The 17,481-nt window shown below is 38.0% G+C and overlaps 1 protein-coding gene across 1 annotated transcript; it reads right to left on the bottom strand.

Annotated features, from left to right (window-relative positions):
• On the bottom strand, window positions 13,942–16,732 carry GSPT2 (G1 to S phase transition 2). Its single transcript, NM_018094.5, has one exon. The coding sequence runs from the start codon at window positions 16,545–16,547 to the stop codon at window positions 14,661–14,663; it is 1,887 nt and encodes a 628-aa protein (NP_060564.2). The 5' UTR covers window positions 16,548–16,732; the 3' UTR covers window positions 13,942–14,660.

The following is a 17,481-nucleotide window of genomic DNA, read 5'->3' as shown; positions in this document are numbered from 1 at the left end:
TGCAAATTATGAGATATGTAAGACATTTGTACCCATGATTGCTTGGATATAGGTTGTCACATAAGAAGTGCTGGATTTAACGTAGGGGAATTACACAATCTCTTGCATTTACCCTATTACTCTGAGAAAACAGAACAATACTTTCTTCAGGGTTTGTCAGGATATATGCAGGGATTGGCTTGCCATCATGTTAACCTATAAAGATACTCTTTCCACCTTTTAACTCCAAAAGTAGGCTACTTTCTGGTGGGCTAGTCCAGCATTTGGCTATCAGGCAATTCTGTTCTTGAGGGTGTTTCACTAAATTTTATTGTAGCAGTTTTGGGTACCGGTAGAAATTGAAAAGGGCTGCATGACTAATAATCCCACTTGGGGAAATTTTTCATATTCTCCACGTTAATTGTGTGTGAATTAGTCTGAAAACAGCAGGGATTATAGAGTCAGCTTTGATTTTGTAGTTCCATTGTCACCTAGGATTGGAGGCATTAGATGAGTGTGGTGTGGACATTGCAGGCTATGGAGACTGCCTTACAATGGAGATGCATTTTTTTTGCTTTTAACCTCAAAACTGGACTATTTACTGGGTGGGATATTCCCATGCTTGGCTATTTCAGGCATTTCAGCCCTCGTTTAGACTGCTGTCCCACACTTTACTATAGTAGTGGTGGGTTTACTATAGTAGTGACGGGTTTAAAATGATGAAGCTGCTGAAATTAGTTATATAATTCTAGCCTCTGTGGTTCTTTATATTCTCCATGTATCCTTTTAGCTAGCACCCCAGGGTGTAGCTTTAGATGTGGATTCAAATAAGGTCTGATGCTGAGAGAAAGCTTCGACTCAGACACTAGGCCCCCTCAATGCAGTTGCTATGGGAGATGATGCATCCTGATCGTGTCGTTGTCATGGTAACTCATACACTTGACCCAGTCTCATTCAGACTTGACACACCAAAGGCAGCTTTTCCTGAGCTGCCAGCATCCTCTTCTTTGTCAGCTCAGTGAGAAAATAGAGCCAACAAAATTCTTTTCCCAAAGATACTCACTACCTTATAAGTTATTTGGCTCCATAATTGGGAGATGATTATGCAAATATGGAAATTTTATTATTGTTAGCAGGTGTGTGCACATGTGGAGTGCTTGCATGATGGGGGTGTACTGGATGGAGGACACCAATTGTTTCCCAAACTGTTGGAGGAGCACCCAGGTGATATATTATTCATGACTGGGATGAACTGAAATAAAGATAGTTAGTGCTTATTCGAGCACTTTCTATCTAGTAGATTCTACTCCTTGTTCTTTATAGGTAGCTTGATTAGCAGTAGCTTATTCTTCAGTGTACTGTATAATAAACCTAAAATAATAAACGTTTGAAATAACGGTGCCTGAATTGCAACAGACAGAAACAGAGAACAGACAACCTGATAGGTGAGAAATGGTATTTCAAAGTAGCTTTAATTTACATTTCTGTAATTATGAGTAGATTTGACCATCTTTTGATATAGTTCAGGGCCATTTGTGTGGGCTTGTTTTGTAAACTATTTGTTTAGGTCTTTTGCCAATTTATGTAATGGGTTTATGACCTTTTTTATTTGATTTTAAAGAGTGCTTTACATTTATTGAGGATATTAGCTTTTTTAAAATATATTTTGAAAATATTTTCTCCAAATTTATTATTTTTTATTTGTTTATTTCTCTGTTTTTGTTTTCATTTTTTGCTAGGCCAAAATGTGTCTTCTTCTTTATTCTGGAGGGGCTATTTATCAATTTTTATTTGATTGTGTCTGGATTTGGATTCCTTGATAGAAGTCCTTTCCACGCTCCCAGGTTATTACAGAATCTATCTGTATTCCCTTCTAGTATTAAAGAACTTCATTTTTTACATGAGGATCTCTAAACCACATGGAGATTATTCTTTCTACGAGTTATGGATCAAATTTTATCTTTTACCAAATGGCTACCCAATTGTCCTAACAGCATTCATTAAAAATGTTTTTCTGTTCCCTAGTTATATGTTGTCACATTTATTATATATGAATTTTCCATATGTGTATGGGTGTATTTCATACATTTCTATTCTGTTCATTGGAGTGCCAGTACCATACAATTTTAATTATTGAGACTTAATAGCATGTTTTATTCCTGGTTGGGTTAGTCTTTCCTCACTGCTATTATTTTTTCAGAGATTGTTGTAGCTGTTCCTGCATGGTGTTTCCCTCACCCTCAAGAGGAACTTTAGAATCAACTTGTCTTTCTCTAGAGAAAAGAAAACTTGCTGGCATATTTTTAATTAAGATTTCATTAAGTTTATAAACTAGCTGACATCTTAATAATGTTAACTTTCCTATATAAGAATTAGAGCATTCAGGAGTCTTTAAATCTTTCCTCACACAGGTTTTCCACATTATTTGTCACAGTTATTCCTAAGATTGTTATCTTCTTTATTGTTATTACAGAGATTTTTTCTTTCATTATATTTTGTTTCTTGTTATTGTTTATAAGTATGTAAAGTCATTGAATTTGTATTTTAATTTATATCCTTCTAAATTTTTCAAATCTTTTATTGTTTGTGTTAGTTTCATCTTTACACTTCTCAAGTTGGCCAAGTAAAATACCATATAATCTACAAATAGAATTACAATATGTTCGTAATTCTCATGCCTATACTTGTTTTTGTAGGGTTTGTTTTTTAATTGTGTTGGCTAATACCGCCAACAAATTGAATAGCTGAGAGACTGGGCAACTCTTTCCCTGCTTTTAACCTTAGCAGGAATGCCTCTTGTGTTTTCCATTAGAAATTTTAGTATTTACATTTGTAGTTATTCAGACATACAGTGGGTACTTCTTTATGTGCATGTGTGTATATATCATATACTTGTTATATACACACATACATAATATATATGAAGCATACATCATTTTATTGAGTATTTTTTCATTTTGTTTTGTTTTGTTTTGGTTTGTTGGAATGAACATTTATAAGGATTTATAAGGATTTCTGGAAATTTTCATATGCTTTTTCTTCTTAGACCTATCATAAGATGAATTACATTAATTGATTCCTTAATTATTGAATCACCCCTGATTACCTGGAATAAATCCTACTTGTTCCTGATGCATTATTTTCTTAATGTGGTGTTAGATTCTGTCCACTCATATTTAATTTAGGAGATTTGTATCAATATTCAAAATTGAAATTGATCTGTAACTTCTTTTGTTATACTGTCTCCATCAGGTTTTGGTATCAATGTTATATTTGCTTTATAATAGTAATTTGAATTTTTCTTTATTTTCTATGCTTTGGAAAATGTTGTGTAGCACTGAGAGTAATAACATATGTAGCGTTATGATTAGTTGGTGCTTAAATTTTGGTAAAATCACCCTGTGGAAATATTAAAGCCTGATACTTGTTTTTGAGGAAGTGGTTTAATAAATCTCTCGATTTCTTCTATTAAAATTGGTCCTTAAGAGTTTCATCACTATTGGTGTCAATTTTGATGAATTATTTTTTCCTAGGAAATCGTACTTATCCTTTGGGTTTTCAATTTATTGTGAAAAAACAGTCTTTTATTATTATTTTTTAAATTTTTTTCTGTTTTAATAGTTATTCCGTTTCATTTTTTATTTTGTGTATCTCTGTTTTCTCTTTTTTATTATATTAAGTAGTGGTTTTTATTATATTAAGTAGTAATAGTGGTTTATTATATTAAGTAATATATTAGGTATTAAGCATGATGTTAATTTATTTTAAGGAAAGAGAATTTTGATTAATTTAGTTCTATTGCTCTTCCATTTCTTGTCTCATTAGTGCTTCCTTTTATCTTTATTATTGCTTCCTTGTGTTTTCTTTTGGTTTACTTTGTTGACCTTTGCCTAACTTTAGGGTTGAAATACGTATCACACATATTATGCTACGTAGACTTTCTAATAACATTGTTTTGTTTTTTAAAACTGCAATTTTGGTTTGTATTTCCCCTTTCACTCAGGAGTTTTTATTTTATTTTGCTTTAAGTAGAGAGTTTTAAAATTTAACCTGGGAAAGACTTATTTTTTTAGCTATACATTATGACAAATGAATGCTGGCTGTGTTATTTCTACATTATTGAATTTGATGATACTTTCTTTGTGACCTGGAATATGGTAAAGTTTTATGAATATTCCTTGGGTGCTTGAGAAAGTATTTTTCAATTATCTAGTTGTAAAGTTTGATATATATCCAGAAGATCTACCTTATTGATTATGTGAAATAGGTCTTCTATATCCTTGCTTATTTTTTGTCCATTTGGCCTGTCTTGGACAGTTGTGTTATACTCTGTTATTGGCATGTTCCTGTATATTCCTCCCTGCATCTCCTATAATTTGTGCTTTATAAAAATATGCATGTGTTATCTTGTGCATAAATATTCATAACTGTTTTGCCTTCATTGGGAATTGTGACTTTCAGCATTTACAAAGACAAAAACAAAGTTTGGGGACTAGGGTGAAAGAATATGAAAACGTTTTAGATTTTGAGACAGAAAGAGAGCATTAAAAGAGAAGAAAAAGGAACAAGGAAAAGGAGAGCAAGAAAAAACTATTGCATCATTAATAAGTGGAAGTAAAAAGATTTAATTTAAATCTAAGTCAATTATGGCCAGGCACGGTGGCTCATGCCTGTAATCCCAGCTTATCACTCAGGATCCGGAGGTCCAGTTTGTCCCAGGTGGATTTCTTATGGGACATTTTAGGGGATGGAAAGGGAGGAACTTAGCATACAGGAATAGGGAGAGATGCCCTAATCTGGTGACTGGTACATAGCCAGAGGCAGAAGATTCTCTTGGCAGTCATATTCATTAATTCAATGAATATTCAAAGATGCCCTCTATGCCAAGCCATCTTTCACTTAATTCAGGTTTCTGCTTAAAAGGCATGGGCAGGTCTAGCCACAGCTTAAAATCCCTGTCAGTCTCATGGTCACACTGTTATAATATTCTTATTAACACTAAGTACTATCCCGCTTATATTCAATTCTTAAATTCTTTAAATTCTGCTAAAATGTAATACTCCAAAGGGGCATAGATTTTTGCCTGTTTTGTTTTTATTCTATGTACATCATCTAGAATACTACTGTCACATGGTACACTCTAAATAAATGTTTGCTACATTAATGTATCAATAATACCCACTTCATGCCTTCAGAGAATGAAACATCTGATGTAGAGGCAGGCACAGTAATATATTTTTTATAAGAAATAGATTAACGGTGATGTCACTACATTTCACTGCCTCATTTAACACTCAACATACATTTAATAAGCTTTGTTCTAGTCCCTGTGCTAGCCACTGTGGGTATTAAGAACACAGCACAGTCCGTGATCTCTACTAGTATTGGATCTAGTAGGAAGATTCCAATTATGTAGTTTACACTAGGTTATTATGTGTTTAGCATCAATAACAAAACAAGCAACAAAAACCCAGTAACAATGACTTAAACCAGTGGTTTAAGTCACAAAATCACCTGAGAAACTTTTTAAAAAGACTAAACTCCCTACAAAAAGGCAAAATTCTTATGGAGGGGAATTTGGCAAGATCTAGCATATATGAATACATGTTGGCCTATAAATCCCAATTCTCAAAATCAAAGAAACACTGGGGAAATATGAAAATGTTGCTGATTATGGAAGTATGTGTTATGGAAAAAATTGGGATGATTAAATAACCATTAATAGAGGACTTGACAAATAAAATAATTGAATATTATGCAATTATAAAAAATAACTATTTCTATATGTTGATTTGGAGCACTCTCCAGGATATATTGGTAAACAAAAAAAATCAAGTTGGAGAAAACTGCATAGTGTATTATTATTTAGCAAAAATGGTGAATAAATCCATATATGGAATTATAATCAACAAACTAGAAAAAAATGTACCCAGGGGAAAGAAGGTTCAGAGTGAGAGGGACAAGAATACAAGGGGGACTTTGCTCAAATGTGTTGTTTTGTAGGTTTGACTTTGGTACTATGTAAACTTTCCACATATTTATAAAAACTAATTAAATAATATAAAATAATTCCTATCAATGAAAAGCAAAATTGATTTTATTTTACATTTAGTTGGTGGCATTATCATACATAGAGAAACTATTTCAAATGGTTTATAAACATAGTCATTTGTTCTGTACATTCTATTCCTAGTGAGATACAACCTGAGGATCAAAAGAACCACACAAAATATTTAAACTGTTTTCAGAATTAGCATTTTTAATGGTAGTGTTGGCATGTTTTTCAGATATTGTCAGGTGTAAATTGGGGGATAATACTAATGAGTAATTTTGTTGGCATCATTGGGAGTCAGTACTTGTGGCTTCATAGAAAGGATATACCGAAGTAAAATTAATGACATAAAGTACGTATGCTGGAGCCCTAAATTTGAATGGGAATTATGAGTATAAACTCATGATGTATTTTGCTTAAATATGTATTTCTTAGTTCAGTACTCTACAAAGCACCAGAAACCATGATGAACCCAGTGGCATGCAGTTAAGCCTGATGATTTTACTCTCTAAAAAAGCATTTCTCACCAAAAAAAAAAAAAAAAAAAAAAAAAAATCAGTACATAATGAATGAGCTGATTTTGGGAAATGTATAAGGTGAGACTGGAACAACCTGATGTACAAGAAAACAGGAAGCTATCACAGACTACTGGGGTAATGTAAAAAGAATTCAAGAGCCAACCTGAAGAGCCTGAATGCCTAAAAATGGAACAGTTTGAGCATATATAAGAATAACAACTAAACAGACTTAAACACATTAAGTGTGTTTAAATATTGTGTTCATAATGACTCCAAAATATACTTTGTGGTCATCTCTAAAACTGATAGGGAATAAATTCATTATTTGAAAACCAGTAAATAAAAGGAAAGAATCAAATAATTAGCCTTCTATTTGCATATATACTATTTACTGTGTCACCAAATAGTAAATGAGGGGAAGATTCTTCTTAAAGACATATCTTAGCTAATAAATGTAGAAAGATAAATGGAACATCTTCATTCTACAATCTGTGATGAAATATTGGATCTAGCCAATAATCATCAATGTCTGCTAAAAAAGGAGATAACCAGACACTTCCCAGGTAGCTCTAACAACCAATTTACAGAGAAGACAGGACACAGAGGGACATGTTAAACAGTAACAAAGGAAGGATGTCAGCAAAAGCCAGACTGTAAGAAACTCTAGAGAATAAAGGACCCAAATTCTTCAACAAATAAATTGCAAGGAAAAAAAAACAGAGAAGGGGCAACTTATAGATTAAAAGAGATTCAACAAATTATAATGCATGAGAGTAAATTGAATCCTGAGTTGAAAATCAAATTTCAAAAATTAAATATTTATAAGCAATTGGACAATTTGAACTAGGAATGAGTATGTGAAGATATTTGGGAATTATAATTAATATTTTTTAGACAGGATCTGGCTCTATTGCCCAGGCTGGAGTGCAGTGGTACAATCTCGGCTCACTGCAACCTCCACCTTCTGGGCTTAAGCCATCCTCCCCAATCAGCCTCCCAAGTTGCTGGGACTACAGGCACATGCCACCACACCCAGCTAATTTTTGTATTTTTTGTAGACACGAGGTTCCATCATGTAGGCCAGGCTGGTCTTGAACTCCTGAGCTCAAGTGATCTACCCACCTCAGCCTCCCCAAGTGCTGGGATTATAGGCATGAGGCACCACACCCAGCCTGTAACTAATTTTTTACATGTGATAATATTATTGTTTATATTTTTTAAAGTGTCTGCATCTTTTACAGATACATACTGAAATAATCTTTTATTAAGTGATATGATGTTTAAGATTAGCTGCAAACTAATCTTTGGGTGGAGAGAAGTTGGTGAGGGTTTAGATAAAATTATATTGACCAAGAGTTATTAACTAATGAAGCTGTGTAAAATCTACATGCATTCTGTATAATATCTTGCCATGTATCTCACACTATTTATAACAGAAAGTTTTAAAAAGTGTACAGAGTCACAATATAGACTAATGAAATCAGAATTTCTAGATATGGGGCTAAGGCATTAGCACTTCTAAATGCTACCTTCAAATAAATTTACTGTGCAGTTAAAGTTTAGAGCAAACAGTATAAACAAACAGGACCTTAATTTTTTCCCCTCCCCATAAGAAGTCTGGAAGTATGCTTGCACTGGTTCAGTTGCTCAAATATGCCTGAAGGACACCACAGTTTCCATATTCCAGCTCGACTATTTTCATGAAGTTTACTCTGGGACCTCATGTTTGTTACAATGTGGCTGCAACAGCTCCAGGCATCTCTATCACATTCCAAGTACCACCATTCTCTCACATCTGTCCTTCTTATTAAGAAACAGCCTCTTTTACAGAAGTCCTAAAGTATTCTCTGTACACCTCATTGGGCAGAACTGGGTCACATGTTCACCCCTAGCTGTAGGGGAGGCTGGAAAAACCATCATATAACCAAGGAGAATAGGATAGCCATGCTTGGATTGGAGAATTTCTGAGCCTCCCCACCCTTGCCCCGAAACTGAACATATTCCTTCTTTGAACAAAATCAGTTTTTGTTATCACTGGGCATTAGTAGAAAACGCTGTTGGGTAAGCAATTAGCAAATCCAGTGAGAAGGGAGAAGCAGAGCTCTTAGAGTCAAAAATACAGTCAGGAGTAAGGACTGAATATGGACTGAAGGGAATAAACTCAAAGCGATTGAGCCACATACTGCATCCAGGCAATTTTTGTATTTGCTACCTTGTTCGGTCCTCACAACAGTTCTACAAACCAAGTAACTGGCATTATATCACTGTTATGCAGGAGGGACAAGAGGCTCATAGGGGAGGGGCTAGATGCTTTGCTCAGAATTCTAATTGGTGGTTCCACAGGGCATTCATTACTTTTTCTCTCTGCCATGGATCATAGCTACTTCTGTGGATACCAAGTTCACCATGAGAAATACCAGCAGGGAAAGGGAAAAGGTCAATTGTTTGCTCAGCACAATGCTAGGCATATTTCATGTTGGGAGGAGAATGTATTTTGATTTTGGCCCCCAGTCTGATGGTGGGAACTGTTGGCAGAGTTGAGGGCCCAAGGGTGGCCCAGAGCAGAACTTGCCCTTCATTGTAGCTACTGACAGGCTGCACACTCAGGTCATATGTGGTATCTTGGGTGCCACTAACTTAGTCAGGCATTGGTAGATATGTGGAGTCTAATACTTGTACATGGAAGTCTGTGAGGCTTGGCAATCTCACCACCCTCAGAGTTGGCTCCCATGCTGTCTGTATTGCCAGCAGCTTTGACTTCTTTGTCTTATGGAATGAATCTGATATACATTCATTCCCTAGCCACCTCCAAGCTCAGCTCAGATTCTGCTAGCAAATAAGTATTATTTTTCTCATGCCCCTAGTTTTCCTCCAGGCCTTGAATAGTGTGCCATCCATGGAGGCAAACAGTTCTTCCTGACTTAACATTTGGTCACTATGATGTTTTACTCCCCACGAAGATCTTGGGAAGCCACATTTCGTCTGGCTGCAATCATCATCCTTTAAGGTTAGGGCTTCCTCAAATATACCTCCTGACCTTCAAACCCTCACTCACTTCTTAAATGTGTCAAATTTATGCTTGTGGACCACCTACCCTCTCAGATCCTCTCAGACAAGAGTTCTTTTTAATTTAGCATGCATTGAAGAATGTGGTTGGGGATGGAGCATTCTGTCACCAACATCACTCAGGATCTAAGTCTTTGGATGTTTAAAAAATGTAATGACTGGGAGGCTGAGGTAGGTGTTCGAGACCAGCCTGATCAACATGGTGAAACCCCGTCTCTACTCAAAATACAAAATTAGCCGAGCGTGCTGGCACATGCCCGTAATCCCAGCTACTTGGGGAGCTGAGGCACGAGAATCACTTGAACCCGGGAGGTGGAGGTTGCAGTGAGCTGAGATTGTGCCATTGCATTCCAGCCTGGGTAACAAGAGCCAAACTCTGTCTCAAAAAAAAAAAAAAAAGTAATGATATGTTTTGTTTCACCATTCGTTTATACACTACCAAACTGGCAAAATAAATTAAGACAGTTTAGAAAGTGATAGAAGCATCAATTAAAGAAGAGACAAAAAAGAGATTCAAGGGTGGAGATCAAACACTAAAATTGAATCCAGGAACTGCCAGCTAAACCCACAGAAGCTACTTGGGGTATTTTTTGGTCACTTGCCGTGTGACAAAGTGTCCTTCTTTTGTGAATTTATTGGTTTGGCAAAAGGTCACTGTTACACTGCCATAGAACAAGTAAAAGAAGTCTCAGGAGGAGATAATTCATCTAAGTTTCTGTTAGAGAATAGAGGAGGCCCTTTACTCAATGCCCCAAATGTGAAAGAAGGGCTATAATTGCATATATTTTGTATATATATCTTACCACGTGAGAGACGTAACGACATGATTGTGTACAGCAGCCTGACTATGAACAAATCTTTTTCTGTACTTGTATGCCAAAACCAAGGCCAAGTTTCAATATTATCTGCTTGGACTTTGGAAAAAGTTCAGCAATCAAAGAGAGACACATCTTCTTTAGAGGGCTGAGAAATGTCTGCAAATTATGTTTATGCAAATTTAGTATTAGTGTTTAATATTAATCCAAGTAGAAAACAAGGGGCTTTGCAGAAATCCCTTTTGTTTGATGTCTGAGTCTTAAAGCCTGAAGCTTTTATCAACACTGATTTATAGAAAGAAATCATACAATTTTTAAAGGCTAAGTGTGGGAAAAGAGAATCTCTCTAGAATTTAGATAAATTTTCTCTAAAACAGTCTGGCATAGTCTAGTGCAGGACTGAACTGTGTGGGGGGCCAATATTCAGTATTTTACAGGATCTGTAGTGTAGCGTTGTAAGCTGTGTCTTCTGTATGTAAGTAGAGCTTTTGTTCCCTTCTGTTTGTTCTGATACATGGCATGTTCATTTAGCAGGTTCTTCTTTTCTTTTCCCTTTCCCTTGCTGATTTTGGTTATTTGCTGAACACACACACACACACACACACACACACACACACACACACACACACGAGGTGTTTTGAAAAAGCCTCTCCCAAATTCTAAGGTAAGTTCACTTTCCCCATTCTGTGGAAGTAACCAGTGGTGTCCCTGGGGAGAAGCCTTGGTTCAAATTCTCCTTCCTCTCAATGGCCAATGAGTAGATGCTGTAACTGAAAACTAGAAAAATAAAAAAAATGGCAATTGTCTTAACAGAAAATATAGAAAGAGTAATATTGGACATGAAAACAGGCACTGGAGCAACTCAAATGCTCAGGTTTTGACAGAACTTATGTGGTTGTTGGATAGTTTGTTTACAGCCCCATTTTACTAAAATGAGTATGTATACCGCAAAATGTTTATAAGTAAATGATAAAAAGGGCAAGTTCTTGCACTGCAATGAATCAAAATCATGATATTGTGAAAGGAGGGTCTATTTTGAGAGAGGATTTGTCTTTTGAGGACAGGAACAGAGGCTTTAGTGGATAGTAAAAGCACTGGCTGTTTTTCCTAGGTACTAGGGAAAGATGCTCAAAGTGAGCAATGTGGTCTACTACCTTCTATCCAGCCCAAACATTCCCCCTTTTTTCCTTTTCAGGTCTTTGCTGAAGTATAGAATAAGTTGGCCCCTTTCCTTAAATCTCCTCAGACTTGTCCCATAATGACCAGAGGAATAAAGAAGGAAAATTGGGAGAAAAATTGCCAAGAACAAATGGGTAGACACTGAGAAAGCCTGAAGTAGGAACCTCATAAAGTACTTACAGTATGCAACCAGATTTGAGAAGATTCCATATTATCTTGGCTGCTAGGAATTGGAGATGAAACTCTGAGGACAGTTAAATCAAACTGACCTGAATTAGAGGAAATAGGGGATCTCTGAAAGGAAACTGCCCTGAACATGGTTTTTATAAATAGTTGGATGCCCTAGGGAAACTAGTACTCTGTGAATGGCCCCAATTTGGAGTATTGGAGAACACCATCAGATATCAACAACTATAAAGAAATGTATCCAGGAAGTTAGAAAGAAATGTTACCACGAATTTGTATCTACTTTGTTAAAGAGACAGTCCAGTATCTCCAAGCACCTGGATGATCTGCTTCTCACTGAAATGCAAATAATTGGTTTCTAAAATCTATTTCCAAAAATTGTCTTTTTCTCTGAAGGTTTTTGTATTTATATATAAACAGTTCAGAATGTCTGGTAGGGAAATTGCTAAACAATTGGCTAATGAGAAAGACATTTAGGAGCCAGTTTTTGATGGGAAATCATCCAAATTGGATGGAGACAAAGAGTTCTGTCCTGGCTTGTGGTTTTGGCCTATCAGTGGAACACAGCCACAAAATACTACTGGTAAATCACTAAAATTACAAAACAATGAGATTGATGCAGCAGCAAAAATAATTGCTTATAAAGTGGCTTCCAGGGCAAAACTTACCAAGTACTGGATGGTTTGTATTTTGTATGAGGTTCAGTGCATAGAGCTCTTATGATAAAAATAAAACTCTTGCCATTGACATTCTAATGATTAAAAAACTGGGTCCAAGACGTATGAGGCACATCCGTGTGGATTAGGTTAGCTTATGTATGACAAAATAAAAATCCTCATTTCCCACATGGGTGCCCTGAAGACCTATGGGCAGTACAGCCAAAATACTGATGCTCCAACAAGACCAGTGTGGCTATCTCTGACAGGTTAGACACCCTGGAGGTACATGTACACACAAAGGGACAATGTAGAAGGATACATTGCCTTTACCTGAGCATGAATGAGCCCAGGGTGTTGTGCCAGCAGTCCCCACACCTATTCAACTAGCTCATGAGTATGAGGTTTGACAGCAAAGCAAACTGTCTCTCTCTCCAGGTATACTGCTGTGCCTAAGGCACTACCCACTTAATAAGACAGAAGGTTCTTTAGTTGTTGACAGTTATTTGCAGGTTATAAGGCCACTCTCTTGCCAATAAATGTAGCCACCTCAGAATCCATAATTGGTGTTTTCCTCAAGAAGTTGTTCAGAGAAGTATCCAGTGCCTCTGACCCCAAGTGTAGGTCATGATCTGAATTTAAAAATGACTTCCCACCTTTCCTATCAACCCAAGCATGAAAGAGACAAAGGTGACATCATCTCATTTCCCAGCCCAGGAGTCACTAATCCTTAGTTTTTACTCAATGACCAAAGGCCCCATTGCAAGCATTTATCTTCTCAATAGCCATACCCCTTATTGGGTTGTGACCCATATCACAAGTTTCATGGTGAACAAAACCAAGAGCTGTGTTTGTTAAGATGATGGAGTACAGTTAAGAGTCTAGCCAAGGCTGGGCACAGTGGCTCACGCCTGTAATCCCACCACTTTGGGGGGCTGAGATGGGAGGATTGCTTGAGCCTGGGAGGTTGAGGCTGCAGTGAGCCATGACTGCACCACTGCACTCCAGCCTGGGTGACAGAGTGAGACCCTGTCTTTTAAAAAAATAAAGAGTCTTGTAAACCTATGGTCCAAATCTCCTATAATTTGGCCATGCTTAACGTGATGGGACCTGATGGAATACAGTAAGTCCTCACTTAACATAGTCCACTGGTTCTTGGAAATTGTGACTTCAAGTGAAATAACATCTAACAAAATGAATTTTTCCCCTTATCAATGTCATAACTAAACAACATTGAACAATGTCATAACTAAACAACATTGAACAATGTCATAACTAAACAACATTGAACAAGGTCATAACAACATTGAACAATGTCATAACAACATTGAACAATGTCATAACAACATTGAACAATGTCATACATTGTGCATTGTTGTACGATGTACACCTGCTGTACATTGTTTTGCTTAATGTTGTAGTCTTCAAGAACCTATGGATAATGTTACATGAACTACTGCTATACAAATAAAGACGGCCTGAGCCTTTCATTTTCAAATCACAAGTGGGGAAGCAGAAGAGCTCCTTTATTGACTGGACTTGGACAGAGAAAACAAAGCCCACTGGGAAGAGCCTTAACATACGTTTTTTTCTCAAAATTAAAATTATTCCTTTAATACACACTTATGCATTGTTTGTAAATTCCTCACTTAAAACAGTAAGTGGTGAAGAGTTTTTAAGTTTTTAAGTGATAGAACATATTCAACTATTTGAGAAAGTAATAAAGCTAATTGAATAGCATTACATAATGACATTTAAACATTATTCAAAAGCATTTCAAATAACCGAAGAGTTTCAAATGGAGTATTTTATTCACATGTTAGTTATCATTTTAACACACACACAAACACTGACACACTCTGGTTTGCGTGGAACAAGGGTGGTCTAAATATCCTAAAAGAAAATGAAAAATTAAAGTACATTAATTTTTCATTACTGTAGGCAATTACGTCCACATCACTTACAAAGCTATTACTGATATTGTCCAAGGAAGCAGAGTGGTACAGAGGAAGGAAACTTGAGGGTAAATTCATCAGTGACATAACAGATCTCAACATGAGAAAGCTGACAAAACATGAATTTTTGCTGTGAAATTTCTCTTTGCAAAATATGAAGAAAAGTCAATCAATGGGCAGTAAATAAGAGTAGGTGGTGAACTTTTGCTGTCAATTCTCCTCACAGTATCTTGCAGAGGCATCAAGAAAATTGCTTAGTCCTTCTCTGGGACCAATTTCAGAACTTTTCCAATTGCAATGGTCTTACCCTCATCTCTTAAAGTAAAACGACCCATCTGAGGAAAATCTTTGAACGTCTCGAGGCAGATGGTTCCTGCTGTCCTTAAACGAGCAATGCATACTTGATCTTGTTTCACGAAGCGGGGTCGTGTCTTACTTTTTTCTCCTGATTTTTTGTCTACCAAGGAGATTAACGCTGTTATCTCAACTTCCTCAATACAAGTATGAATGTGCAGCACCGCATTATAACCTGGGCAGATGATGGATTTGTGCTCAATAATCACTATCTGAACATCAAACGTGCGTCCAGAATGGCAGAGGTTACTAGGATCACAAAGTATGAATCCTGGAAGAATCTCTTCTTCTTCAATTCCCTTCAGTCTGATTTTGAGGTTTTCACCTGGGGCTACAAAATCAGTTTCAGTATCATCAGAAAGTATTCCAAGAACTTCTACATTGTGCTTGTTTGGCATCATCACGAGCTGCTGGCCTTTAAAAATGGACCCGGATTCCAGCTTTCCCAGGACCACAGTGCCCATATCTTTGTACTTATCCACAATTGGCAGTCTTATTGGTCCATCAATTGATCTGTTGAAGTTTGGCAAGTTATCCAAATACGGAATAAATGGTAATCCAGTGTACCAAGGGCAGAAATCTGACTGCTCTTTAATATTTGCTCCGGTCAGTCCTGAGCAGGGCATAAAGTGAATGTCCTTTTTTGGACTGAAGCCTACTTTTTTCAAAAAGGGCACCAGTTTTTCTTTACATTCTTCATATCTCTCGATGCTCCAATTTACTGTGGGATCATCCATCTTATTAATAAGCACTATTAAATGTTTTACCCCTGCCGTTTTTGCCAACATCGCATGTTCTCTTGTCTGTCCACCTTTTTCAAATCCAGTTTCAAACTCTCCTTTCCTGGCAGAGATGACCAGCACAGCCAAATCAGCTTGAGAAGCACCACCAATCATATTTGGGACAAAACTCTTGTGGCCAGGGGCATCTAAAATTGTGAAATGTTTCCTTTCTGTTTCAAAATAGGCACGACCCACTTCGACTGTTTTACCCTTGTCTCGTTCCTCCTGATTTGTATCTAAGGCCCAGGACAAATACCAGGTTTCTCTGTTTTTTTCCTTAGCTTCTCTTTCATATTTCTCCAGTGTTCTTTTGTCAACCATTCCAGTCAAAAACATTATCTGTCCTCCGATGGTTGACTTGCCAGCGTCTACATGGCCAATGAATACTACATTTACGTGTTCTTTCTTAGGTGCACCTGAGGGTACGATCACAGATTTGGATTTTCTTATTTCCTCTTTTTCCTCCATCATTTCCTGGCCACTTTCTTCTGGGGGCCCTGAATCTCCCGAGGAACCACCCCCAGGCTCGGCTTCACTTACTTCTTTACTGTGCTCCCATGATTCTTCTAGGGCCATTTCCACCTCTCCATTTTCTACAACAGGTTCTGAAAGTTCCATGGTAACGGCTGAATTGGAACCTTCAAGCGACACTAACGGTTCCTCTCGGGAAGGTTCCACAGGTGCCCCCCGTCCCATCCTTTTACCTTGAGGGTATCCCGCGCCGGTGCAGGTTTCATCGTTGCTGCCGGAGCCGGCCGGGAGGGTGGGCGGCTGAGTCGGGCCCCGCAGGAAGGACGGCACGAACTCCGCGGCGTGTACGTTAGGCACGAAGGGCTTGGCGTTGACGTTGAGCTTACGGCTGAAAGCCGAGCTGAGGGGCTCGCGCTGGGCCTCGGCCACCGCAGAGGAGACTCCATCCCCGCTCGGGGCCGACCCCGGGGATTCCATGTCCACCTGGTCCCAGCAATCGGGCGCCGAGTCGCTGCTGCTGCTGCCCGAATCCATGGTCTCGGAACTTGCTGTGTGGCAGTGAGGGAGCGGGCTCAACAGGCCAGAAGAGCGGGCTCCGCCGGCGGGGTTAAGGCAGCAAGAGCGAAGGGCCAAGGGGTAGCGACACGAACCTTAGCTGCACCGCGGAGGCAGCTAAGCGCCGATGCTGCATTCGCAACTGCGGCGGCAGCAGCAGATATGGCGGCTCAACACTCTCCTCTTGTGTGTGAGCGGATCTCCTCCCCCAAACCCCAACCACTTCCGACTCCTCCACCCCCGACCCAACGCCGGGCGTGGATTGACCCCTCGCTGCTATCCGTACGCTTGGCTTCCTTACTTCTTCTTAGCCACGGGCTAAGTCCAAAAGTATTATTTTTTAAAACGAAAATTTCCATTCACTTTTTTGTTCACACAGTCTGGCAGAGCAATTTGACCACAATCTGATGATTAAACCTAGACAGGAACACATGGTATACAATTCTACCAAAAGATTCAAGTAAAAGTGATCATTTCTATTGAACAAATGGGAGGCAAGATAAGGGTTAACTATACAGAAATTCAGAAACCCAGCAACTGAAGGGAGAGGCAAGGAATGGGTAGGGAGGGACTCATGAAATATATGAGTCTGTAGCCGAACTTAGGAAATGCAACTTAAGATCACTCATTAATTTGAAATCCACAGGCCTTTTGATTTTCCCTTTCCAGTGGGCCCCCATAAGCCTGTAACTTCTGCTGATGGCTTCTATAGTTTAAGGATAGGGTTACAACTTCTTTTCATGTTAAGCACCCTGGCTGTCTGAGGGGAGAGAATTTCCAAGGAGATCCTTGTTCCAGTGAAGCTTCCAGTCACTTCATATGCAGATGCCTGCACAATGGCTGGCCTGCCATTCAATGGTGGATCACGTAGACAAGCACAGGACTCAGATCACTCTTGTTTTACCAACCAACT

Source organism: Homo sapiens, chromosome X (genome assembly GCF_000001405.40).
Source record: "Homo sapiens chromosome X, GRCh38.p14 Primary Assembly".
Taxonomy (NCBI): Eukaryota; Metazoa; Chordata; class Mammalia; order Primates; family Hominidae; genus Homo; species Homo sapiens.
Note: the sequence above shows the minus strand (reverse complement) of the source record. Positions and strands in the feature narration are given on the sequence as shown.

Bases quoted from the DNA above. Each gene is read 5' to 3' on its own strand.
- GSPT2 (NM_018094.5), bottom strand. From the start codon at position 16,547: ATGGATTCGGGCAGCAGCAGCAGCGACTCGGCGCCCGATTGCTGGGAC.